Source organism: Homo sapiens, chromosome 21 (genome assembly GCF_000001405.40).
Source record: "Homo sapiens chromosome 21, GRCh38.p14 Primary Assembly".
Taxonomy (NCBI): Eukaryota; Metazoa; Chordata; class Mammalia; order Primates; family Hominidae; genus Homo; species Homo sapiens.
In genome coordinates, this window is record NC_000021.9 from 42,972,316 (window position 1) to 42,995,748 (window position 23,433).

Below are 23,433 nucleotides of genomic sequence, written 5' to 3' on the forward strand. Positions count from 1 at the left end.
TGAAAGTGAGTTTGTTAGAGAAGTAAATAAACCAAAGAATGGCTACTCCATAGGCAGAGCAGCCCCAAGGGCTGCTGGTTGGCTATTTTTATGGTCCTTTTTTTTTTCCCTAGAATCCGTTCCTGAATTATATTGGTTATTTCTTGATCACGTGCTAAACAAGGGGTGGATTATTCATGAGTTTTCTGGGAAAGTGGTGGGGAATTCCCAGAACTTAGGCTTCCTCTTCCATTTATTTATTTATTTATTGGAGATGGAGTCTTGCTCGTTGCCCAGGCTGGAGTGCAATGGCGTGATCTCGGCTCACTGCAACCTTTGCTTCCCAGGTTCAAGCGATTCTCCTGCCTCAGCCTCCCAAGTAGCTGGGACTACAGGTGTATGCCACCACGCCTGCTTAATTTTTTGGTATTTTTAGTAGAGATGGGGTTTCACCATATTGGCCATGCTGGTCTCAACTCCTGACCTCAAGTAATCTGCCCGCCTTGGCCTCCCCAAAGTGCTGGGATTACTGGCGTGAGCCACTGCGCCCGACCCCTTTTAGGCAATGTAGGGTATCTTCCAAACGTTGCCATGGCATTTGAAAACTGTCATGGCGCTGGCGAGAGTGTGTTTTACCAAGCTCATATATTATAATTAGTGTATAATCAGCAGTGAGGAAGGCCACAGGTCACTTTCCCCGCCATCTTGGTTTTGGTGGGATTTGGCCGGCTTCTTTACTGCATCCTGTTTTATCAGCAGGATCCTTGTGACCTGTGTCTTGTTCCGACCTCCTATCTCATCCGATTACTAAGAACGCCTTAACTCCTGGGGGGTGCGGCCCAGCAGGTCTCAGCTTCAGTTTACCCAGCCCATGTGGAGTCTCTCTGTTCCAACACCTATTGACACTTGCATCTGGATCTTGCACTAGGCTCTGCAGATTATGCTCAGTCTTGAATACTGAGCTTTTTTTGTCCCCTTGAACTTCCCTCCTTGGGCAAGTATCTCAGGGCCTCCCTCTTGCCCACCCTGCTGCTTCCCATCTTTCTGAAAGAGGCGGCTCTGCAGCTGCACAGCACTTGGCCAAGACCTCCTGGCGGTGTGGAGCTCTGAAGACACAGGAGGGATGTCCTCCGAGCTGTTCATGCCTAGACCTACCCCCAGGCTCCCTCTAGCAATCAGCTCCAGTCCTGGGCCTGTCTGCCTTCCGGGAGGAGTGGGGGCCCACAGAGCTGCCCTTCCCGCGCTGTGTATGGACTCAAGGCACTGATGGCCTTCGGTGGGCCACTGCATAAATGGATGTTTCTGCAGTATTGAAGGCCAGTCAGGCAAACCGTGTGCTTTCCTACGCAGTGGGGAATGTGTCGCCCTTTCCTTACATCTTGGAGACCAAAGCCACCATCTGCACTTGTGGGTACATTGTGGCAGTGGTCGGTTAGGGTGGTCTTTCAAAGCAGTTTGAAATGCAGACACTTGTGGGCGTCCCCTAAGGCAGGTGCCCTTTACCTGGAGGCCGCATTGGTCACCTAGACCCGCAAGGCTCACCTGGGCCGGAAGGTGTGGTCAAGCGAGGCCAAGTAGCCCAGAGGCCACCCCTAAGCACCTGTGGACATCATGAGTCCTTGCTGGGGTCCTCACAGAGGGAAGACAGCCCCCAGGGTAAAGCCTCAGGTGCTAAGCACTCGCGCTGCCGCAGGGGGGGAGGCACGTGAGCATCCACTGTGCCGCCCAGGACGGGCCCACCCGGGCTCCAGAGCCTGGGGAGGAAGGCTGCGAGGCTCCCACGGGCTTACATTCAAACCGGGCACACACAGAACGGAGGCCTTCGGCTACGGGACGCCCGGCGGTGGGGTTACGGATGGTACAGCCCTCCCTCCCCGCCTGCTCGAGGCAAATGGTTTCGCCCGGCTACACACACCTCTCCTGGGCGGCAACCGAGGGCGCGGAGGGGGCAAGACGTGCGCTGAGGCCACGCCCCTACTGCATAGTCATAAGGCGGGAGGCTCTGCCTTCGGGGCGGGGCAGACAGCTCCTCGCGCTCGGGCGCGGCCGGTTGGGGGCACGGCCTAGCTCCGGGTGCGGGCGGGGCTGGAGGCGGGGCCGGCCACCGCCCGGTTCCCGCCCTCGCTCTCCTCCCCCAGCGATCAGGCCCCGCCCCGCGCCCGCCGCCGCGCAGGGAGGGGCGGGGCCCGTCTCCGGCAGGCCCCGCCCCCTCTCTGAATATTGATGCGGCGCGCGTCGGCGTCGCCCTCCTCCCATTGAGCGAGGCTGTGTCGCGTGGCCCAGCGTCGGCGTGACGGTTGGACGCGGGCGCGGCACTGCGGGTCCCGATTGCTGCAGCCGCTTGTCAGTGTGATGAAGATTGGCACCCAGGTAAGCTGTCACTCAACCGCTCCGCCGCCGCCGCCGCCGCTCTCGCCGCCGCCGTCCCTATCAATCACACCGGCCCGCGGCCGCCGCCCGCCGCCGCCGCTGCCGCCCGGGTCTGGAGGGCCGGCGCTGCCCTCGAGGGCCCGCATTTGACCCGCCGCCCGGGGCAGGGGGCGGGGAGGGGGCGCGGGTGGGGGAGGGGAGCGGGCACCCGCGGGGGAGGGGGCGCCTTCAGCCCAACCGGCGCGGGGGCGCGCCCAGTTGGTTTCTTAGTGTGGGTTGAGGGACGCGGAAATTTCTGGAAGGCGCCGCCGCCGCCGCGCTGGGCCTGATCGAAGCGCGCGCTCCTAACCGTCCCTTTCGGAGTGCGGCGCGCGCCCCGGCGCGGGGCGGGGGCGCGCGGAGCCCGGCGCGGGCGGGGCGGCGGGCGTGAGGGTCGGGGGCGCGCGGCGGGGCGGGGCCGGGGCGGGCGGCGCGCGTGGGGCCGGTCGGGTCCGCGGCCTCGCGGAGTCCTCAGGGCCGGCGGGGCTGCTCGGAGGGTGCGGGGCGCGCGGCGGCGCAGGCGGGAAGATGGCGGCCGCGACCCCGGCCCCGGCCTCGGCCGTGGCGAGCGGGTGGGTCGGGGTCCTGGGGGCGGTGGGCGTGATGGGGCTCGTGGCCCTCAGCCGGGCGCCGGCGCGGGAGCAGCCCAGGGCCGCTCGCTGACGGCAGTGTTTGGGGCCGGGTGCTGGGGAAGCGGTTCCGGCGTCCCGGGAATTGGTGGGAAGAGCCGCTTCTGTCACACGGGTCGTGGTAATGGATGACAGGAAGTGCCGGGCAGGGTCTGGGCGCCCTGTGGGTTTGCACCTTCCTTGTGAGGGAAATCGTGTCACTTAACGAAAAATGAAGAAACGCGGAGTCTGCTTTATGTCATCCTCGTGGCTCTCGAAATGCCTTATTTGGACAGTGGCTCTGCGACGGGACCAGTTAGGGCCTCCGTTCCGATGGCGGATTCCTGACGGGAGGCCCGAGGGTCCGGGAATGGCGGCGTCCTGAGGTCGGGCCCAGGGCAGGCCAGGCTGAGCGCCACGGCGGGGCCGCAGCCCTGGGGGGTGTTCCACCTGTGTGTGGGGTTCTCTTCCAACTCTACGAGAGTTTGCTTTTTAAAACAGTAGATGATTTTTCCTTAGGAAGTGGTTCCTCTTCAGGATGAAAGAAACCCCCAGCTTTAGTTAGGTCTACTTTCATGATTTTTCCTGGCATACTGAAAAATAGGCTTTCTCTAAACATAAGGAAGAATCGAGGTGAAATGTGAACCTCTGCCAGTATAGTTATTGGTGATGCTCTTGCATTTAGTCATAATTTGGAAGATGGCAGGCTGACCCCAATGAGCCTTTCATCACTCTGCTTAATTTACTTAGAGTGATTTGTGAATCCTGTCCTTGTACACAGGCGTACCTCAGATAATTCGAGTTCTAATCCAGACCACCGCAGTAAAATAAGTATTGCAGTAAAGCAAGTGACGCAACAGTTTTAGGTTTTTCAGTGCATATGAAAGTTGTAATTACAGTATACTACTTAAAGTGTGCAATAGCAAGCATTATATCTATAAAAATGTGCTTACGTTAATTAAAAAATATTTTAGTGCTAAAAATACTAATGATCATCTGAGCCTTTAGTGAGTCCTGCTTGTTTTATACTTTGACAATCTGGCCTCAGTGTGGATGGCTGCTGACTGATCAGGGTGGTGGTGGCTGTGTCAGTTACTTAAAATAAGACAACAGTGAAATTTACTGCATTGATGGACTCCTCCTTTCATGAAAGACTTCTTTGTAGCATGTGATGCTGTTTTGATAGCATTTTAACCACAGTGAAAATTCTTTCAAAGTTGGAGGCTATTCTCAAACTCTGCCACTGCTATCCACTAAGTTGATGTGATATTCCAAATGTTTTGTTGTCATTTCCACAATGTGCACAGCGTCTTCACTAGGAATAAATTCCATTTCAAGAAACCACTTTCTTTGCTCATCCGTAAGAAGCAACTGTTCATTATTTCCACCACATCTGCAGTTCCTTCCTCCACTGAAGTCTTGAACTCCTCCAAGTCATCATAAGGGTTAGAATCAACTTCTTCCAAACTCCTGTTAATGTTATTTGACTTCCTTCCATGAATCATGAATGGCATCTAGAATGGCAGATTCTTTCCAGAAGGTTTTCAGTTTACTTTGCCCAGATTCATGCGAGGAATCACTACCACAGCTATAGCCTTACAAAATGTATTTCTTAAATAATTAAGACTTGAAAGTCAAGATTACTCCTTGGATCCATAGCTGCAGAATGGATGTGGTGTTAGCAGACATGAAGACAGCATTCATCTCCTTGTGTACATCTCCATCAGAGCCCTTGGGTGACTAGGTACATTGTCAGTGAACGGTAATATTTTGAAAGAAATCTTTTTCTGAGCAGTGGATCTCAACAGTGGGTTTAAAATATTCAGTAATGTGTTATTCCATTTCCAGAGCACAGGCAAGAGTAGACGTAACATAATTCTTCAGAACCCTAGGATTTTCAGAATGGTCAAAGACCACTGGCTTCAGCTTAAAGTCACCAGTGACATTTGCCCCTAACAAGAGAGCCAGCTTGCCCTTTGAAACTAAGCACTGAGTTCTCTCTAGGTATGAAAGTCCTAGATGTCATCTCCTTCCAAAGGAAGTCTTTTGTCTATATTGAAAATCTGCTTTTTCGTCTCGCTGCCTTCATCAATGATCTTAGCTAGACCTGGATAACCTGGTGTTGCTTTTCTGTTAGGTAGCACTTGCTGCTTCACCTTGTACTTTCGTGTTATGGGGACAGCTTCTTTCCTTAAACCTCATGAACCAGCCTCTGCTGCTTCCAACTTTTTTTTTTTTTTTTTTTTTTTTTTTGAGATGGATTTTCACTCTTGTTGCCCAAGCTGGAGAGCAATGGCGTGATCTCGGCTCACTGCAACCTCCACCTCCCGGGTTCAAGCGATTCTCCTGCCTCAGCCTCCGTAGTAGCTGGGAGTACAGGCAGCTGCCACCACATACAGCTAATTTTTTGTATTTTTAGTAGAGACGGGCTCTACTAAATGTTAGCTAGGCTGGGACTTCTGACCTCAGGTGATCCACCTGCCTCAGCCTCTCAAAGTGCTGGGATTACAGGGGTGAGCTGCCGTGCCTGGCTCCAACTTTTCTTCTGCATCTTCCTCACCTCTCTCAGCCTTCATAGAATTGAAGAAAACTTGGGCCTGGTTCTCGATTAGGCTTCAGTTTAAGGGAATGTTGTGGCTGGTTTGATCTAATCAGACCACTCATACTTTCCACATATCACCAATAAGGCTGTTTCACTTTCTTTCCCTCCCTCCCTCTTTTTTTGAGACTATTGCCCAGGTTGGAGTGCAGTGGTATGATCATGGCTCACTGCAACCTCTGCCTCCTGGGTGCAAGCAATTCTCTTGCCTCAACCTCCCGAGTAGCTGGGATAACAGGTGTGCAGCATGTGTCCAGCTAATTTTTGTATTATTAGTAGAGGTAAGGTTTCACCATGTTGACCAGGCTGGTCTCGAACTCCTGACCTCAAGTGATCCGCCCGCCTTGGCCTCCCAAAGTGTTGGGATTACAGGTGTGAGCCAACGGACCTGGCCATTTTCTTATTCATGTGTTCACTGGAGTAGCACTTTTTAATTGCCTTTAAGTTTTCCTTTGTTCTGAGAGGTGATTTAAAATTTCAAAAATTTGTGTATGTATTTTTTTAATTTCAAAAATTGGAAAGAAACTTCTGCTTTGCATTTACAACTTGGCTAACTTGTTTTTTTCTTTTCTTTTCTTTTTTTTTTTTTTTTTGAGATGGAGTCGCTCTGTCGCCCAGGCTAGAGTGCAGTGGCGCGATCTTGGCTCACTGCAACCTCTGCCTCCCGGGTTCAAGTGATTCTCTTGCCTCAGCCTACCAAGTAGTTGGGACTACAGACGTGAGCCACCACGCCCGGCTAATTTTTGTATTTTTAGTAGAGACAGGGTTTCGCCGTATTGGCCAGGCTGGTCTTGAACTCCTGACCTCAAATAATCCACCCACCTTGGCCTCCCAGAGTACTGGGATTACAGGCATGAGCCACCGCACCCAGCCCTTTTTTGTTTTTTTTTAAAGAGATGAAGTCTCCCTATGTTATCCAGGCAGGTCTCAAACTCCTGGCCTCAAGTGGTCCTCCTGCCTCAGCCTCAGGCATGATCCACTGTTCCTGGCCTTGGCTATGTTTTTGAGAGACAGGGTCTCATTCTGTTGCTCAGGTTGGGATGCAGTGGTGAGATCATAGCTCACTGCACTCTTGACCTCTTGGGCTAAAGTGGTTCTCCCACCTCAGCCCCCTGAGTAACTGGGACTACAGGGATGTGCCAGCATGCCCAGCTAATTTTGAAAAAGTTTTGTAGAAGTGAGGTCTCATTATGTTGCCTCGGCTGTCTCTTAAGTTCCTTTCCAGAATGGTGAATCCTTTCAAGCCGCCTTCCTGCCTCGTCCTTCCGAAGTGTTGGGATTACCCATATGAATCACTGTTCCTGACCTGAACATCAAAGATCACTGATCACAGATCCCCGTAACAGACATAATAATGACAAAGTTTGAAATAGTGAAGAATTACCAAAATGTAACACAGACACAAAGTGAGCTCCTGTTTTTGGAAAATTGGCACCAATAGGCTTGCTTTCTTCATACAGGGTTGCCACAGATCTTCAACTTGTGAAAAACATAGTACCTGCTGAGTGCAATAAAGCAAAACACAATAAAAGGTAAAATGAGGTGCTTATAGCCAGGCGCAGTGGCTGACGCCTGTAATCCCAGCACTTTGGGAGGCCGAGGCGGGTGGATCACGAGGTCAGGAGATCGAGACCATCCTGGCTAACACTGTGAAACCCCGTCTCTACTAAATATACAAAGAATTAGCTGGGCGTAGTGGCGGGCACCTGTATTCTCAGCCACTTGGGAGGCTAAGGCAGGAGAATGGCGTGAACCCAGGGGGCGGAGCTTGCAGTGAGCCGAGATCGCGCCACTGCACTCCAGCCTGGGTGACACAGCGAGACTCCATCTCAGAAAAAAAGAAAAAAGAAAAATGAGGTGCTTATAGTCTGTTGAATCTAAAATGCAGCAGTGTGTTATACCACTACAGATGCTCCCAGTGCCTTCTGGCACGCTGCTTTCTTACCCCATCAGTGAAGGATGCTTTTCACTTCAGACATTTAAAAGTGTGCCTTAGAATTGATGAAACATGGTCAGTGAAGTATGACTTGTTTCAAAGATTAACCTTCTGCGCTTATGATCTAAGTGCCAGCAGGTTCTGTGGTAATGATACTGAGTACAATGCATTTTGTTGGGATTCCTGTACTCTATATGTAGTTAACGTTTCTCTGGCAGTAACTTTAGAAAAGTACTACTTGTGAGGCCAGGTGCGGTGGCTCACACCTGTAATCCTAGCGCTTTGGGAGGCCGAGGTGGGTGGATTGCCTGAGGTCAGGAGTTTGAGACCAGCCTGGCCAAGATGGGGCAACCCCTGTCTCTACTAAAAATGCAAAATTAGCTGGGTGTGGTGGCAGGAGCCTGTATCCCCAGCTACTCGGGAGGCTGAGGCAGGAGAATCACTTGAACCAGGAGGTGGAGGTTGCAGTGAGCTGAGATCGCTCCAGTGCACTTCAGGCTGGGCGACAGAGCAAGACTCCATGTCCGAAAAAAGAGAAAAAAAAATACTACTTGTAAATAGCAGAAATAGAAAGGTGCTACTTATGAGAAGTAACATCCTATTTGCGGCTTACACTTTTGTTGCAAATTGTTAAAAGTGTCTGAAACTGTTTAGAAGGACAGCCTGAAACTGCTAAAGTGATGCAAAGTATAGACTCTGGTGGGAGAGGGGGCGTCTTAAATTTTCACGTTTGCTTGGCCTCTGGGGGCCTCTTAACAGCACTTTAAAGGAAATAAATAGATGAAGAAGAGAACAAATTATTTTGAAATACAGTTATTAAAATACTGTATTGAACCAAATTGGTGATAGTCCCATTTATTAGCTTAGTAACCGGATTGAGCTGTGGCTCTGGTAATTCATTTGGGAGTAGTGACGAGATTTTTTGTGACACTCTAATGCTTTGGAAAATACCTGTTGCTGTTCCTGCTAAAACTCCAGGGCTTATTGTCTGCCTTTGTAATTGAAGGAGTGCTACATTTCAGCTAGAAGTTTTTGCCTTTTATCATTCATGTTCACAAATACCAAGTTGATTTACTCTCAGCCTATCCATTTGTAGGAATATATGGTGTCCTTTCTTTACTTCCTCAAATGATTATATTGATGACAAAAGAGACAAGGAAATAAAAACGGCACAGATAGGGGAACCCAAAGCCTAACAGTGTGTGTCCTTGGAGGTGAGGGTGAAGGAAGTGGCTGCAGGCCCTGGGAAGTACCATCTTGCATCCGTGTGCAGCACTGAGTGGATACCTCATGGTTCTGTCTTGTGTACACTGTTCAGGAGGACATGTAGAGTGGACATATCACATAGAAGAAGGTCAGTCTGGAAACTGTTAGGAGAAGCACTCAAGGGCTGAGAGGCATGGTCCTTGGTGGAAAGAGCCAGCAGGCCTGGTGCTGGCGGTGCCCTGCTCGTGACAGTGTGCAAAGTCTGGAGCCTGGCCTGTTCCCGCCCTTGGCAGATGGTAGCTCCTTGTTTTGGATTATTAGCCCCTGCCGGTTTAGTTACTGTTTCTGGAAGATTCACATAGAAGGCAGTGTGGTAATTCAGTCAACGTGTTGTCTGGCATGTGGTATAAAACTCCTGTTTAAAGCTCTGATTCTGAGGCCATGCCTCAGGGACTTGAGAAGGGGACAGAGCAGCTTATTTTATTTTATTATTTATTTTATTTAATTTTAATTTTATTTTATTTTGAGATAGGGTCTCACTTTTTCACCCAGGCTGGAGTGCAGTGGCACGATCTCGGCCCACTGCAGCCGGGAGCTTCTGGGCTCAAGTAATCTTCCCGCCACAGCCCCCAAAGTAGCTGGGATTACAGGCACGTGTCATCACACCCAGCTAATTGTACTGTTTGCCGTCTGCGATTGACGCTGGAATGATTGGCTGTTTTAGTCGGGTTCTCAGGGTGGCAGGGAGCAGGCTGACTTCAAGTTGGGTGGGTGGTGAGATAGGTGGTTCAGGATCATGCAGGGATAAAGAAAACAGGAGTCTATGGGATTCTTGGGACCACTGTATTGTTGCTGGGCCTCTGGGCAGATGGAACCATGGTTTGTGCTCTGGCAGGATCCAGTTCTGCACCAGGGCTCTTGGCCTTCCGCTTCAATTAGGTGGTTGCCCTCCACTGTCTGTTCCATCTGTACGCTCCCCTCACAGTGGGGGCTCACCCAGCCTTACCTGCCCTGTACTCTCCCTTTTCCAGCACCCACCTCAGAGAGAGTGCCTGTGCTCTTTCCCCTCACACCACCTACCAGGCGCTGACCTTCGGGCTGGGGGCTGGCCTTGGGTGTTGCAGGGCTACCTGGCCCAGGGAGTGGTGCTTGGGGAGGAATGAGCTTCTGACACCTGCACAAGGAAGGCCCCCTTTGAGCAGGGCCTGCCAGTGGGGTTGGGTCACTCAAAGGGGCTGTGGATTGGTAGGTACTATGATCACAGTTTCCAGAACATAATGCCTGAGTGAGCGCATGTGTTTTGTTACATGTTCTCTCAGACATTTTATGAAGGTTTGTACATTTTTTTGCATTAAAAATGTTAGGAATTTAACTTGACAAGAAAAAGGAGCATAAGGCCGGGTGCAGTGGTTCACGCCTGTAATCCCAGCACTTTGGGAGGCCAAGGTGGGTGGATCACCTGAGGTCGGGAATTCGAGTCCAGCCTGAACAACATGGAGAAACCCTGTCTCTACTAAAAATACAAAAAATTAGCCGGGTGTGGTGGTGCATGCCTGTAATCCCAGCTACTTGGGAGGCTGAGGCAGGAGAATCACTTGAACCCAGGAGGTGGAGGTTATGGTGAGCTGAGATCGCGCCATTGCACTCCAGCCTGGGCAACAAGAGCGAAACTCCATCTCAAAAAAAAAAAAAAAAGTTTAATAAACATTAAATTGCTAAACTTTACGTTCTTCTAAATTTAGTTACGTATTTGAGCATACTTTTTTTTCCCCCACGAAACAGGGGCTTGCTCTGTTGCCCAGGCTGGAGTGCAGTGGTGCAATCTTGGCTCCCTGCAACCTCTGCCTCCCGGGTTCAGGCAATTCTCCTGCCTCAGCCTACTGAGTAGCTGGGATTACAGGTGCCCACCACCACGCCTGGCTAATTTTTGTATTTTTAGTAGAGATGGAGTTTTACCATGTTGGCCAGGCTGGTCTCGAACTCCTGACCTCAGATGAGCTGCCCACTGTTGCCTTTCAAAGTTCCAGGATTACAGGCATGAACCACTGTGGCTGGCCTTTTTTTTCCAATTTTTTGTTATGGTAAAATACACGTAACAAAATTTACCATCTTAACCATTTTCAGTGTGCAGTTCAGTGGTGGTAAGTTCATTCATACTTTTGTACAGCCATCACCACCATCTGTCTCCAGAACCCTTCATCTTGTAAAACTGAAACTCTATACCCATTAAACACTGCCTCCCCATCTCCCCTCCCTGAAGCCCCTGGCAACCACCATTCTACTTCCTGTCTCTGAATTTCGCTACTATAGGGACTTCATACCAGTGGAATTAGGTAGTATTTGTCTTTTTGTGACCAGCTTAGCTCATTTACCATAATGTCCTTAAGGTTCATCTATGTTGTAGTGTGTGTCAGAATTTCCTTCCTTTTTAAGGCTGAATACTCCATTGTGTGGATATACTGAATTTTGTTTATCCATCCCTCAACAGACACTTGAGTTCCTTCTACCTTTTGACTATTTTGAATAATAAAACTGTGAACCTGAGTGTGTAAATACTTCTCCGAGATCCTACTTTCAATTTTTTTGGATATAGATCTAGAAGTGGGATTGCTGGATCATACTGGAATTCTGTTTTTAATTTTTTAGGGAACCTCCATCCGATTTTTCGCAGCAACTGTACTGTTTTATATTCCTTTTAATTTAATTTATTTTTTATTTTTCCAAGGACTCAATAAGGAGAGAGTATCAGTTTACATTCCTACCAACAGTACAGAGGTTCCAGTTTCTCCGTATCTTACCCAACACTTATTTTCTTATGTGTTGTTGCTTTTTTTAATAGCAGCCATCCTAATGGATTTGAGGTGGCATCTTACTGTCATTTTGATTTGTATTTCCCTAATAATTAGTGATGTGGAGCATCTTTTCACATGTTCATCGGCCATTTACATGTCTTTGGAGAAATATCTCTTCAAGTCCTTTGCCCCTTTTTGAATTGGGTTTCTTACATGCATACGTGTGTGCGTGTGTGTGCGTGTGTGTGTGTGTGTGTGTGTGTGTTTTAAAGAGACAGGGTCTCATGATGTTGTCCAGGCTGGTCTCCAACTCCTGGGCTCAAGTAATCCAGTAATACTCCTGCCTCAGCCTCCCAAGGAGCTGGGACTTAAAGACATGGGCCCCTGTGCCTGGCTATGTTCATACGTTTTTACATATTTTTTAAGCTATATTGTGTTATGCTTTTAGTTGGCATTTTAGTGATTTTTAAAACATTTATATAATCCACACATTTCTCGTTTTAAAAATTTAAGGTCTCATACACTTTTGTGAGTCCAGTTTTTTTCTTTTTCTTTTTTTTTGAGACAGAGTTTTGCTCTTGTTGCTCAGGCTGGAGTGCGATGGCATGATCTTGGCTCACCACAACCTCCACCTCCTGGGTTCAAGCAATTCTCCTGCCTCAGCCTCCCAAGTAGCTGGGATTACAGGCATGTGCCACCCCGCCTGGCTAATTTTGTATTTTCAGTAGAGACAGGGTCTCTCCATGTTGTTCAGGCTGGTCTCGAACTCCCGACCTTAGGTGATCTGTCTGCCTTGGCCTCCCAAAGTGCTGGGATTATAGGCGTGAGCCACCATGCCCGGCCAGTTCCAGTTTTTTGTATTATTTTACGGCCATGCTCTATGTTGTGGAGCCTTTTGAGTATTTAGGTTTTGATACTTTCTGTGTTTTGCCATCCGAAAGCTGGAGTCCCTCTGACCCACCAAGCTTAGTGCTGACAGGGAGAGTAGAGAGGGGTGGCTGCTGTGCAGGGAGGGAGTGCAGGTGCCAGTTCCACAGTGCTGTGTGCCCAGTGTAGGCAGTGCCTGAGAGAGGCTGTCCATGGGAAAGGGGTCCTTGCCTCCAAGGGTTAGGGTTCCTCATTTTCTTTTCTTTTTTTTTTTTTTTTTTTTTTTTTTTGAGATGGAGTCTCACTCGCTCTGTTGCCCAGGCTGGACTGCAATGGCACGATCTCGGCTCACTGCAACCTCTGTCTCCCGGGTTCGAGCGATTCTCCTGCCTCAGCCTCCCGAGTAGCTGGGACTACAGGCATGCGCCACCATGCCCGGCTAATTTTTGTACTTGCAGTAGAGACAGGTTTCACCACGTTGGCCAGGCTGATCTCGAACTCCTCACCTCAGGTGATCCACCCTCCTCGGCCTCTCAAAGTGCTGGGATTACAGGCGTGAGCCACTGTGCCTGGCCCCTTATTTTCTTTCTGTTCCTTTTTTTGTTTGTTTTTTGGTTTTTGTTTGTTTGTTTGTTTGTTTTGAGACGGAGTCTCACTCTGTCATCCAGGTTGGAGTGCAGGGGAGTGATCTTGGCTCACTGCAGTCTCCACCTCCTGGGTTCAAGTGATTCTCTGACCTCAGCCTCCTGAGTAGCTGGGATTACAGGTGCAAGGCACCACACCTGGCTCATTTTTGTGTTTTTAGTAGAGACGGGGTTTTGCCATGTTGGCCAGGCTGGTCTCGAACTCCTGACTTCAAATAAGTTGCCTGCCTCGACCTCCCACAATGCTGAGATTACAGGAGTGAGCCACCACGTCCGGCCAGGGTCTTAAAACTTTGATGCGAATTTAAATTTACCAGCTGTAACAGACCATCCAGCTCAGAGTCTGTTAAAACAAATTGCAGGCCGGGCGTGGTGGCTCACACCTGTAATCCTAGCACTTTGGGAGGCTGAGGCGGGTGGATGACTTGAGACCAGGAGTTTGAGACCAGCCTGGTCAACATGGCAAAACCCAGTCTCTCCTAAAAATACAAAAAAATTAGCTGGTCATGGTGGCGGGTGCCTATAATTCCAGCTACTCAGGAGACTGAGGCAGGAGAATTGCTTGAACCTGGGAGGTGGAGATTGCAGTGAGCTGAAATCGTGCCATTGCAGTCTAGCCTGGGCAACAGAGCGAGGCTCTGTCTCAGAAAAAAAAAAAAAAATTAAAAAAAAAATTGCAAAACCATTAAAATGTAAAATACCTTTGATACTAGAATTTTGTTTTGTCTTTAGGGGACATATGTGGGCCTTTGGGTTAGAAATACTTTTTGATACAGATTTTAACAGGATTTACGATCTATGATTTTATTTGAATATTACACTTCAAATGATACCTCGCCAAACCTTGTTTGAAAAATAAAGTGATGGCTGGGCGCAGTGGCTCATGCCTGTAATTCCAGCACTTTGGGAGGCCAAGGCGGGTGGATCATGAGGTCAGGAGTTAAAGACCGTCTTGGCCAAGGTGGTGAAACTCCATCTCTACTAGAAATAGAAAAATTAGCCAGGCATGGTGGCAGGTGCCTGTAATCCCAGCTACTGGGGAGGCTGAGGTAGGAGAATCCCTTGAACCTGGGTGGTGAAGATTGCAGTGAGCCGAGATCATGCCATTGCACTCCAGCCTGGGTGACCGAGTGAGACTTGGTCTCAAAAACAAAAAAAAAGTGATTTCTTGACAAATGTTTTCCTCAGAATGAGTCATTTATTGACTGAACATCTCTTTGGAATAGGAGCTGTGGAAGCCAGGGTGGAAGAGAGATGGACAACTGGCTTGTGGTTTCTGAACCACAGGTGCCTAAAACTTCTCACACACAAAATGAAAGCTCACTTAACTGTCATGATGTATAGTTAGTGTCCTAAAAGGTGTCCTGGAGAAGGTATTTTGGGAGGACTGGTAACAAAACACAATACCTAGAGATGCAGTCTCTGGATCTGACTGTTGTGTTGTCTTCAGTCGTTTTCTGGCTTTATAAATGCCTCAGTGTTACTGTTTGCTAGAACTGGAATTACCCTAGAATTTCCAGTGGAATTGTGGCTGCTCATTAGTCAACACTGCTCTGGGTAGCAGCTAGGAGGTGGCACTCTGGGAGTTGGTCCTCTGCTAGGCGCGGCACCTGGTGAGGGGGATGGGGCTGTGTGGACTCCTCCAGCAAGGCAGCGTCTAGTATATTACATTACAGTACACAGGATAGTGTCACTAAACTGAGTCAGAGAGCACATTTTAGGTGGATTTAAAGAAGTATACTCAGGCCAGGTGCGGTGGCTCACACCTGCAATCCCAGCACTTTGGGAGGCCAAAGTGGGCAGATCACCTGAGGCCAGGAGTTCAAGACCAGCCTGACCAACATGGAGAAACTCTTGTCTCTACTAAAAATACAAAACTAGCTGGGCGTGGTGGCGCATGCCTGTAATCCCAGCTACTCGGGAGGCTGAGGCAGGAGAATCGCTTGAACCTGGGAGGCGGAGGTTGCAGTGAGCTGAGATCGTGCCATTACACTCCAGCCTGGGCAACAAGAGCTAAACTCCCTCTCAAAAAAAAAAAAAAAAAAAAAAATATATATATATATATATATATATGTATACTCAGATTTTCTGACTCCTCTGGGTACTAGAAAGAGGAAAAGAAAGTCTAGTAAGATTTTTTAAAAAGTATCACTTGTCTTTGAACAGCTATAATTTTGGTCAGGGATTGGCAAACCACAGGCCTATGGGCCAGATCCCACTGACCTTTTTTTTGTATGGCCCTAGGGCTGAGAATGGTTTCTACTTTTTTTTTTTTTTTTTGAGATGGAGTCTTCGCTCTTTCACCCGGGCTGGAGTGCAGTGGCGCGATCTCGGCTCACTGCAAGCTCTGCCTCCTGGGTTCACGCCATTCTCCTGCCTCAGCCTACAGAGTAGCTGGGACTACAGGTGCCCACCACCACACCTGGCTAATTTTTTGTATTTTTAGTAGAGACAGGGTTTCACCATGTTAGCCAGGATGGTCTCGATCTCCTGACCTCGTGATCCACCCGTCTCGGCCTCCCAAAGTGCTGGGATTACAGGCGTGAGCCACCGCACCCGGCCTCTACATTTTTAAAGACCTGTAAAGAAAGCATACGTAATACAGACAGTATGTGACCCACAAACCTGAAATATTTACCTTCTGGCCCTTTACAGAAAATGTTTGCTGGTCACACCTCCCACACCTTCAGTTCTTTTTGTTTTTGTTTTTGTTTTTGAGACGGAGTCTCACTCTGTCACCCAGGCTGGAGTGCAATGGCCTACTCTCAGCTCACTGCAACCTCTGCCTCCCGGGTTCAAGTGATTCTCCCTCCTCAGCCTCTTGAGTAGCTGAAATAGGCGCGTGCCACCACACCCAGCTAATTTTTGTATTTTTAGTAGAGATGGGGTTTCACTATGTTGGCCAGGCTGGTCTCAAACTCCTGACCTCATGATCCGCCCACCTCGGCCTCCCAAACTGCTGGGATTACAGGCGTGAGCCACTGTGCCCGGCCAGCCCTCAGTTCTTACTTGGACCAAATCAAAGTTGGTCTGGATCTAAATGGAATCAAATAGCAGAACTGTTGGGAGATATGAAAAACACATGGGGATTTGGTGAGCTACTCTCCTTCAGCTGACTCATGCCTTGCTGTGATTGGTATACAGTATTGTCTATGTAAAAGTTGAGCCTAAAGAAATAGCTCTTAAATCACCATTAGAATTGTAAAGGAATATATGTGAGTAGTTCTAACAGCTGAAGTCTAGAACTCTGCTTCAGTGACTAGTTCCCATTGAGCGCTGGGACACGCTTTGCTGAGAGTCACTGTGGAGGGTCAGATTCTTTCCGGTGGCTCCCATGCTTCACCGAGAGCAGTTGTGCTGATCCCCCAGGCCACTGGGACAGCAGGGCAGGCTCCTTGGTCAGGGCTGGCCCAGGAACGGAGTGGGTTGATGAGAGGGAGCCTGGTCCCTGGGATACTGGTTAGGGTCTACAGGCTGGGGACCCTGCGGGCTGGATGAGGACCCCCTCACTGGTCTTTGGCTTCTCAGGCTGGGGACCCTGCGGGCTGGATGAGGACCCCTCACTGGTCTTTGGCTTCTCAGGCTGGGGACCCTGCGGGCTGGATGAGGACCCCCTCACTGGTCTTTGACTTCTCAGGCTGGGGACCCTGCGGGCTGGATGAGGACCCCCTCACTGGTCTTTGGCTTCTCAGGACTTCTTTCTTTGTAGAATCTCCCTCATCCCTTCCTTTTTCTGTTTGATGTCTCTTTCCTCATTTCTTCTGTAAAATAAACGTAAAAAGGGACTGAATAATTTCCAACTTTTTTTTTTTTGATAAAGGGTCTCACTATGTTGCTGGTTTTGAACTCCTGGACTCAAGCAATATTCCCGCCTCGGGCTTCCAAAGTGCTGGGCTTACAGATGTAAGCCACTGGGCCCGGCCTATCCCCAACCTGTTTTTTTCAGTTTTTTTCCATTTTTTTCAGCTTTTGTGATAGTTTTCTCATGGATCTTTTGACTGGTCAGGATAACATTGCTTAGAGATGTATTTTACTTGATTACTTAAATGTATGTTTCTGTTTCAATTTTTTATTTTTTTTGAGTCAGTCTCACTCTGTCACCCTGGCTGGAGTGCAGTGATGTGATCTCGATTTCACTGCGACCTCCACCTCCAGGGTTCAAGTGATTCTCTCAAGTCTCAGCCTCCCGAGTAGCTGGGATTACAGGCGCCTGCTACCACGCCTGGCTAATTTTTGCATTTTTAGTAGAGATGGGGTTTCACCACGTTGGCCAGGCTGGTCTTGAACTCCTGACCTCAAGTAATCTGCCTGCCTCAGCCTCCCAAAATGCTAGGATTACAGTCGTGAGCCACCGCCCCCAGCCAAAAAGCAGATTTAAAATGTTAGACAAGCTGAACTCAAGGCGGAAGCATTAGATAGAGGGATATTAACATATCATTTACAGGCATAGTTAATAATCATGGGCAGGCATGGTGGCTCACACCTGTAATCCCATCACTTTAGAAGGCCAAGGAGGGCAGATTGCTTGAGCTCAGGAGTTTGAGGCTAGCCTGGGCAACATGGCAAAACCCTGTCTCTACAAAAAATACAAAAGTAAACCGGGTGTGGTGGTGCATGCCTGTGGTTCCAGCTACTCCGGGGCTGAGGTGGGAGGGTTGCTTGAGTGAGGGAGGTCGAGGCTGCAGTGAGCCAGATGGTGCCATTGCACTCCAGCCTGGGCAACAGAGCCAGACCCTGTCTCAAAAAAAAAAAAATAATAATAATAAGCGGACACAGTGTGCCTGTAATCCCAGCTACTCGGGTGGCTGAGGCAGGAGAATTGCTTGAAATCAGGTGGTGGTTGCAGTGAGCCGAGATCACACCACTGCACTCCAGCCCGGGTGACAGAGCAAGACTCCGTCATAAATGAATAAATAAATAAATAAATAATAAGTAACGATCCACTGTGGCTTCCTGGAAACATCCATGTTCACAGCTGGGGTCTGGTCAGTCTGCATAGTGGAGCACACTGCTAGGATGCATCCTTAGCAAGTGAAAAAAGTGAGGCTCAGAACTGTTTGTAGAGTATAGCCTTTTATCTAAGGAAGGCAGATGAAGACTGGCTTATGATAAAGGTGCTAACCCCCAGACTAGTAAAAATGGGGTTCCCTGTGGAGTAGGGAAGGGGCAGTGTTATAAGTTGGATTTCTGGCCATATCTGCTATAGTACTGATCATGGAACTCTAGGGGAGGAAAGATGTTTTCCTTCTACCCATCTTACGTTCATTGGCTGGGGCTCCTGGAACAGAAGACAGATTTACAAAAGAGAAAGGCACACAAATTTATGTAATATAAGTTTTACATGACATGGGAGCCTTTATAAGGAAATGACCCAAGGAAATGGTTAAACCTGAGTGGTTTTGTGTTAGGTTTGATGAGCAATGAAAAGCTATGGAGAACTATGATAGGAGGAGTGTGAGCTAAACGCAATGAACTGGGGGAAACTTAGCAAGGTCTGTTCAGATTTCTCTCTGTATCCTTCTTTGGAGGTCAGCATGTTTCCTCCCCCCGTAGATACGGAGGGCACTTCTCACATGAGGGTCTTACCACCTGCTTTGGGTGAGGGTCAGAAAGTCCTTCCTAGGTTTCGTGACCTGCCTCAGGAGAGAAGGGTTGGGGAAGGTCAGAGAGATGTTCCTGCACAAGCTGCTTCTCAAATTCTTTCAGCTTCAAATATTCAGTGTGCCCAGGTGCCACATTTTGGGGTAGCATGTCCTGAACCTTGTCAAAACTATATGGATGTTTTAATATAGTTTTAAAATAAAATGAAGTCAAAAGTTGGGGGGAAGTAGTCTCTAAAAATTGAAAGCAGCCGAGCACTGTGACTCACAGCTGTAACCCCAGCATTTCGTGAGGCCAAGGTGGGAGGATCGCTTGAAGCCAAGAGTTCGATACCAGCCTTGGAAACAGCCAGACCCCATCTCTACAAAAAAAGAAAAAAAAAAAACCCTGAAAGCAAAACGAATAAAAATAACCAAACCACAAATTGAGTTGGTGGCTTAACTATACAGAGAGGAGTTATTTCAAGTGACTTCAAAACAAATTGTATTGGCCAGGCGTGGTGGCTCACGCCTGTAGTCCCAGCACTTTGGGAGATCGAGGCAGTAGGATCATGAGGTCAGGAGATTGAGACCATCCTGGCTAACACAGTGAAATCCCGTCTCTACTAAAAATTCAAAAAAATTTAGCTGGGCATGGTGGCGGGCACCTGTAGTCCCAGCTACTCGGGAGGCTGCGGCAGGAGAATGGCGTGAACCCCAGAGGCGGAGGCGGAGCTTGCGGTGAGCCAAGATCGTGCCACTGCACTCCAGCATGGGCGACAGAGCGAGACTCCGTCTCAAAAAAAAAAAAACAAACCAAAAAAACAAATTGTATTGTACATCCTAGCAGGGTAAATCCTAAAGACAAAATAACTAAAAAGAAACCCTGGGCAGTTTTTAGTATGTGAATTGTTAGTAATAACATTTTAACTTATTTATTTATTTATGTACTTACTGACTTACAGCTACTTTTTGAGATGGGATCTTGCTCTATCAGCCAAGCTGGATCATGCCACTGCACTCAGCTTCCAAACCTTTGCTCTTGCTGGAGATGCACTACTACAAATAAGCCACAGGACATCACTTTCTTCAGACCCTGCAGAGCATGTTACACTCATGTGGCTTCGGAAGCTGCATTCTGGTCACAGCTGAGCGTCTTTCGTGGTGCTTGCCTCATGGGCCAGCTGCTTCATCAGCTCACCCTGTGTTTCCCATTTTGAATAATGCCGTAATTCATAGGTTGAATTGATGTAATTCACTGTTGCAGGCACCAGAGTTGTACAGATTGTTGACAAGTGTCCTGTCCTTGTGAGTTCGACCTTATCTTAGAAGCACAATTATTTTATCGTCAGAGGTCAGGCTGTGTAGAAGAAATAGCAGGGCTTTGGAGCTGGACAGATTGAAGTCACCCAACCTCTGGTACATCTGTGTCCTCAACAGGGAAACAAGGACAACTAACCTATCTGCGTCTTCTAGAGTAGTCTGGTCACAGCTAGTGTGAACCCCCCGGTCACACTGTTAGTGGCAAAAAACCATTTTATTATGTGGACAAATTCTGTGGACCAGGAATATGGAGAGGAAGTGGCCGTCTCTCCTCCAGGATGTCTGAGTCCTCAGCTGGGACGACTCAGCGGCTGGGGGTGACGTAATGACTGAGGAATGGTATCTTCTGGAGGCGCTTTCTGAAATCCGTCAGCTGGAACACGAGCTGGGGATACTGACCAGAGCACACGTGCAGACTCCACAGGACCTGGGCTTCTTCACAGATTAGAGGAGGTCTTCACAGCACTGGGGGTTCCCTCACAGCACTGGGGGGTTCCCTCATAGCATTGGGGGCTTCCTCACAGCACTGGGGGGTTCTCTCACAGCACTGGGGGGCTTCCTCACAGCAATGGGGGCCTTCCTCACGGTATCGGGGGCTCCCTAATAGCATTGGGGGCTTCTTTGATATCATTGCGAGCTTCCTCACAGCACTGGGGGGCTTCCTCAGCACTGGGGGTCTCCTTTATGTCATTAGGGGGCTTTCTCATAGCAGTGTCAGGGGGGCGTTCCTCACAGCATGGGGCTTCCTGGTAGTCGGAGTGTCACTATGAACAAGATGGAAGCCTCCTTGCCTTTTCTAACCCAGCTCTGGAGTCGCACACCATCATTTCCACTGCATTCTCTTGTTCTCAAATGAGTCACTAGGTCAGCCTGGATTGCAGAGGAAGGGACAAAGACCTCGTGTCTCGATGGGAGAAATGCCATAGAGTTGGGGGATGCACTGGCCTTGGCATGTAGTAGACACAGCTCTGTCTGCCCTCACTGCCCCTTTCCTCCCCTCACGAAGCTCCATTCTTCTCCTGACACTCAAAACGCTGACTGAACGAATGTCCGTCTCGCCTCCACAGGGCCTACATCAACAGGACTCGCGGGCCGAGCTTCCAGGCGCCTTGAGTGGCTGGGCCGGGCCTCCACGTTGCCCTGCTGCAGGGTTAGGTGGGAGCGAGACTGGCCCCACTCCTGTTGACTGTTCCACCAGCACCTTCAGTTTGTGGAAGTGGTTGTGTCCAAAGAGATTTTCGTAAAAACATCACAATTCTAAAACTTTTTTTTTTTTTTCACAATTCTAAAACTTTATGCATTTTTGGCATTTAAAAAGCCCTGGCAAGTCTACTGCCTTATTTCTCCTGCTCCCTTGGCCTGTGGGTCTGTTCCTGTATGGTTACCCACTTTGTTTTTTTTGTTTTTTTTTTTTTTTGCTGTTACTGTGGCTTTGTAGTATATTTTAAAATTTGGTATTCGTTAACTCTTTTTTTTTCTTTTTTTTTTTTTTTGAAACAGAGTCTCGTTCTGTTGCCTGGCCTGGAGTGCAGTGGTGCAGTCTGGGCTCACAGCAGCCTCCGCTTCCCGGGTGCAAGTGATTCTCCTGGCTCAGCCTCCGGAGTAGCTGGGATTACAGGCACACGCCACCATGCCCGGCTAATTTTTGTATTTTTAGTAGACACGGGGTTTCACCATGTTGGCCAGGCTGGTCTCAGACTCCTGACCTCAGGTGATCCACTGGCTCAGCCTCTCAAAGTGTTGGGATTACAGGTGTGAGCCGCCGCGCCCAGCCTTTTTTTTTTTTTTTTTTTTTTAAGGCAAGGCGGGGTCTCCCTTTGTCGCCCAGGCTGGAGTACAGTGGTATGATCACGGCTCACTGCAGCCTCGACCTCCCGGACTCAAGTGATCCCCCTGCCTCAGCCTCTCAAGCAGCTGGGACTACAGACATGTGCCATCATGCCCAGCTAAATTTTTGGATTTTTAGTAGAGATAAGGTCTCACTTTGTTGCCCAGGCTGGTCTTGAACTCCTGAGCTCAAACGATCCTTCCACCTCAGCCTCCCAAAGTGCTGGGATTACAGGCGTGAGCCACTGCACCCAGCCAATTTTTGTATTTTTAGTAGAGGCGGGGTTTCACCATGTTGGCCAGACTGGTCTTGAACTCCTGGCCTCAAGTGATCCACCCACATTGGCTTCCCAAAATGCTAGTATTACAGGCACGTGCCACTGTACCTGACTGTTTTAACCAGTTTTGTTAGAGAGAAGGACTACCAATCTATACATTTTGAAATTCTGACTTTTCCCTCATATTATGAACATTTTGAAAGACAATCTGAGAGTAGAATCTTGATTATCTGCTACCTAGATTCAACAGTTATTGTTATCTGGACCCAATTTATTTATGTTTATATTTTTATTGATCCATTTGAAAGTAAGTTTTGGATATCATGGTCATACAACTAAACATTGAGCACGTACTTCTCAAAATGGTGATATTTATGCTGTGAGCTTATAGCTTTATCACACCATCAAAATAACACTCAATCTCTAATAGTATATAATACTATATATTCACATCTCCTCAAATTTCCTTAAGTTGTCTTTTACAGTGTTTGTTTTTGAAACCAAGATCACATACCACATTTGGTTGTTGTTTCTTTTCTTTTCTTTTTCTTTCTTCTTTTTTTTTTTTTTTTTTTTTAAGACAGAGTCTTGCTCTGTCGCCCAGGCTGGAGTGCAGTGGCGCAATCTTGACTTACTGCAGCCTCCGCCTCCTGGGTTCAAGCGATTTTTCTGCTTCAGCCTCCCCAGTAGCTGGGATTACAGGTGCCTGCCACCATATCCAGCTGATTTTTGTATTTTTAGTAGAGACGGGGTTTTACCATCTTGGCCAGGCTGGTCTCGAACTCCTGACCTCAGGTAGTCCACCTGCCTAAGCCTCCCAAAGTGCTGGGATTACAGGTGTGAACCACCACACCTGGCCGTTTACTTTTATTTTTGCCAGTTTCTTTATAGAGTGCCTCTCAGTTTGGGTTCCTGGGTGTGTCCTGAGGATTGGACTCACAGCTTGCATTTTAGGAAGGACTGCACAGAAGCCAGTAGAGTGTATCCTTTTCATTGCATCATTGTTTTCCCTTTGTAATTAATAAGTGTCTTGAGCCTGGTGCTGTGGCACATGCCTGTAATCCCAGCGCTTTGGGAGGCGGAGGTAGGAGGACGGCTTGAGCCCAAGAGTTCAAGACCAGCCTGGGCAACAGAGTGAGACCCCTGTCTACAAAAAAATGCAAAAATTAGCCAGGTATGGTGGCATGTGCCTATAGTTCTAGCTACTCAAGAGACTGAAGTGTGAGGATTGCTTTAACCTGGGAGGTTGAGGCTGCAGTGAGCCAGAGTCTTGCCACTGCATTCCAGCCTGGGAATAGAGCAAGAACCCATCTCAAAAAAATAAAAAATGAAATGTATCTTGTGGCAGGTACTTTGAGATTATGTACATTTCCTGTTTCTCATACT

General features: G+C 48.6%; 1 protein-coding gene across 7 annotated transcripts in view, besides 10 other annotated features; it reads left to right on the forward strand.

The window, feature by feature from the left end:
- Positions 1,435-1,594: a silencer, noted in NCBI's record as "silent region_13355". NCBI's record gives its function as "represses an Ori minimal core promoter by ATAC-STARR-seq in GM12878 lymphoblastoid cells {active_cell/tissue: GM12878}" and the evidence as "EXISTENCE:reporter gene assay evidence [ECO:0000049][PMID:35858748]".
- Positions 1,905-2,294: a silencer, noted in NCBI's record as "silent region_13356". NCBI's record gives its function as "represses an Ori minimal core promoter by ATAC-STARR-seq in GM12878 lymphoblastoid cells {active_cell/tissue: GM12878}" and the evidence as "EXISTENCE:reporter gene assay evidence [ECO:0000049][PMID:35858748]".
- Positions 2,247-23,433, forward strand: part of PKNOX1 (PBX/knotted 1 homeobox 1) — a 59,370-nt gene continuing 38,183 nt past the window's right edge. For 3 of the 7 annotated variants that reach the window (NM_004571.5, NM_001320694.2, NM_001286258.2), the window contains exon 1: positions 2,247-2,349. The gene's annotated coding sequence lies outside the window, so the exon portion shown is untranslated. Of the gene's footprint in view, positions 2,350-2,825; positions 2,961-19,584; positions 20,396-23,433 lie in introns of those variants that run through there. The other 4 variants (XM_047440826.1, XM_047440828.1, XM_047440829.1 and 1 more) reach the window with 3 other exon arrangements.
- Positions 2,425-2,744: a silencer, noted in NCBI's record as "silent region_13357". NCBI's record gives its function as "represses an Ori minimal core promoter by ATAC-STARR-seq in GM12878 lymphoblastoid cells {active_cell/tissue: GM12878}" and the evidence as "EXISTENCE:reporter gene assay evidence [ECO:0000049][PMID:35858748]".
- Positions 2,885-3,084: a silencer, noted in NCBI's record as "silent region_13358". NCBI's record gives its function as "represses an Ori minimal core promoter by ATAC-STARR-seq in GM12878 lymphoblastoid cells {active_cell/tissue: GM12878}" and the evidence as "EXISTENCE:reporter gene assay evidence [ECO:0000049][PMID:35858748]".
- Positions 3,046-3,772: an enhancer, noted in NCBI's record as "H3K27ac hESC enhancer chr21:44395471-44396197 (GRCh37/hg19 assembly coordinates)". NCBI's record gives its function as "activates a minimal SCP1, AML or CMV promoter by ChIP-STARR-seq in naive H9 embryonic stem cells {active_cell/tissue: H9 hESC(naive)}" and the evidence as "EXISTENCE:reporter gene assay evidence [ECO:0000049][PMID:30033119]".
- Positions 8,793-9,333: an enhancer, noted in NCBI's record as "H3K27ac-H3K4me1 hESC enhancer chr21:44401218-44401758 (GRCh37/hg19 assembly coordinates)". NCBI's record gives its function as "activates a minimal SCP1, AML or CMV promoter by ChIP-STARR-seq in naive H9 embryonic stem cells {active_cell/tissue: H9 hESC(naive)}" and the evidence as "EXISTENCE:reporter gene assay evidence [ECO:0000049][PMID:30033119]".
- Positions 9,334-9,875: an enhancer, noted in NCBI's record as "H3K27ac-H3K4me1 hESC enhancer chr21:44401759-44402300 (GRCh37/hg19 assembly coordinates)". NCBI's record gives its function as "activates a minimal SCP1, AML or CMV promoter by ChIP-STARR-seq in naive and primed H9 embryonic stem cells {active_cell/tissue: H9 hESC(naive and primed)}" and the evidence as "EXISTENCE:reporter gene assay evidence [ECO:0000049][PMID:30033119]".
- Positions 9,876-10,415: an enhancer, noted in NCBI's record as "H3K27ac-H3K4me1 hESC enhancer chr21:44402301-44402840 (GRCh37/hg19 assembly coordinates)". NCBI's record gives its function as "activates a minimal SCP1, AML or CMV promoter by ChIP-STARR-seq in naive and primed H9 embryonic stem cells {active_cell/tissue: H9 hESC(naive and primed)}" and the evidence as "EXISTENCE:reporter gene assay evidence [ECO:0000049][PMID:30033119]".
- Positions 16,529-16,695: a silencer, noted in NCBI's record as "fragment chr21:44408954-44409120 (GRCh37/hg19 assembly coordinates)". NCBI's record gives its function as "represses an EF-1alpha promoter that drives an FKBP-Casp9 reporter gene in an ReSE screen in K562 erythroleukemia cells {active_cell/tissue: K562}" and the evidence as "EXISTENCE:reporter gene assay evidence [ECO:0000049][PMID:32094911]".
- Positions 20,144-20,667: an enhancer, noted in NCBI's record as "H3K27ac-H3K4me1 hESC enhancer chr21:44412569-44413092 (GRCh37/hg19 assembly coordinates)". NCBI's record gives its function as "activates a minimal SCP1, AML or CMV promoter by ChIP-STARR-seq in naive H9 embryonic stem cells {active_cell/tissue: H9 hESC(naive)}" and the evidence as "EXISTENCE:reporter gene assay evidence [ECO:0000049][PMID:30033119]".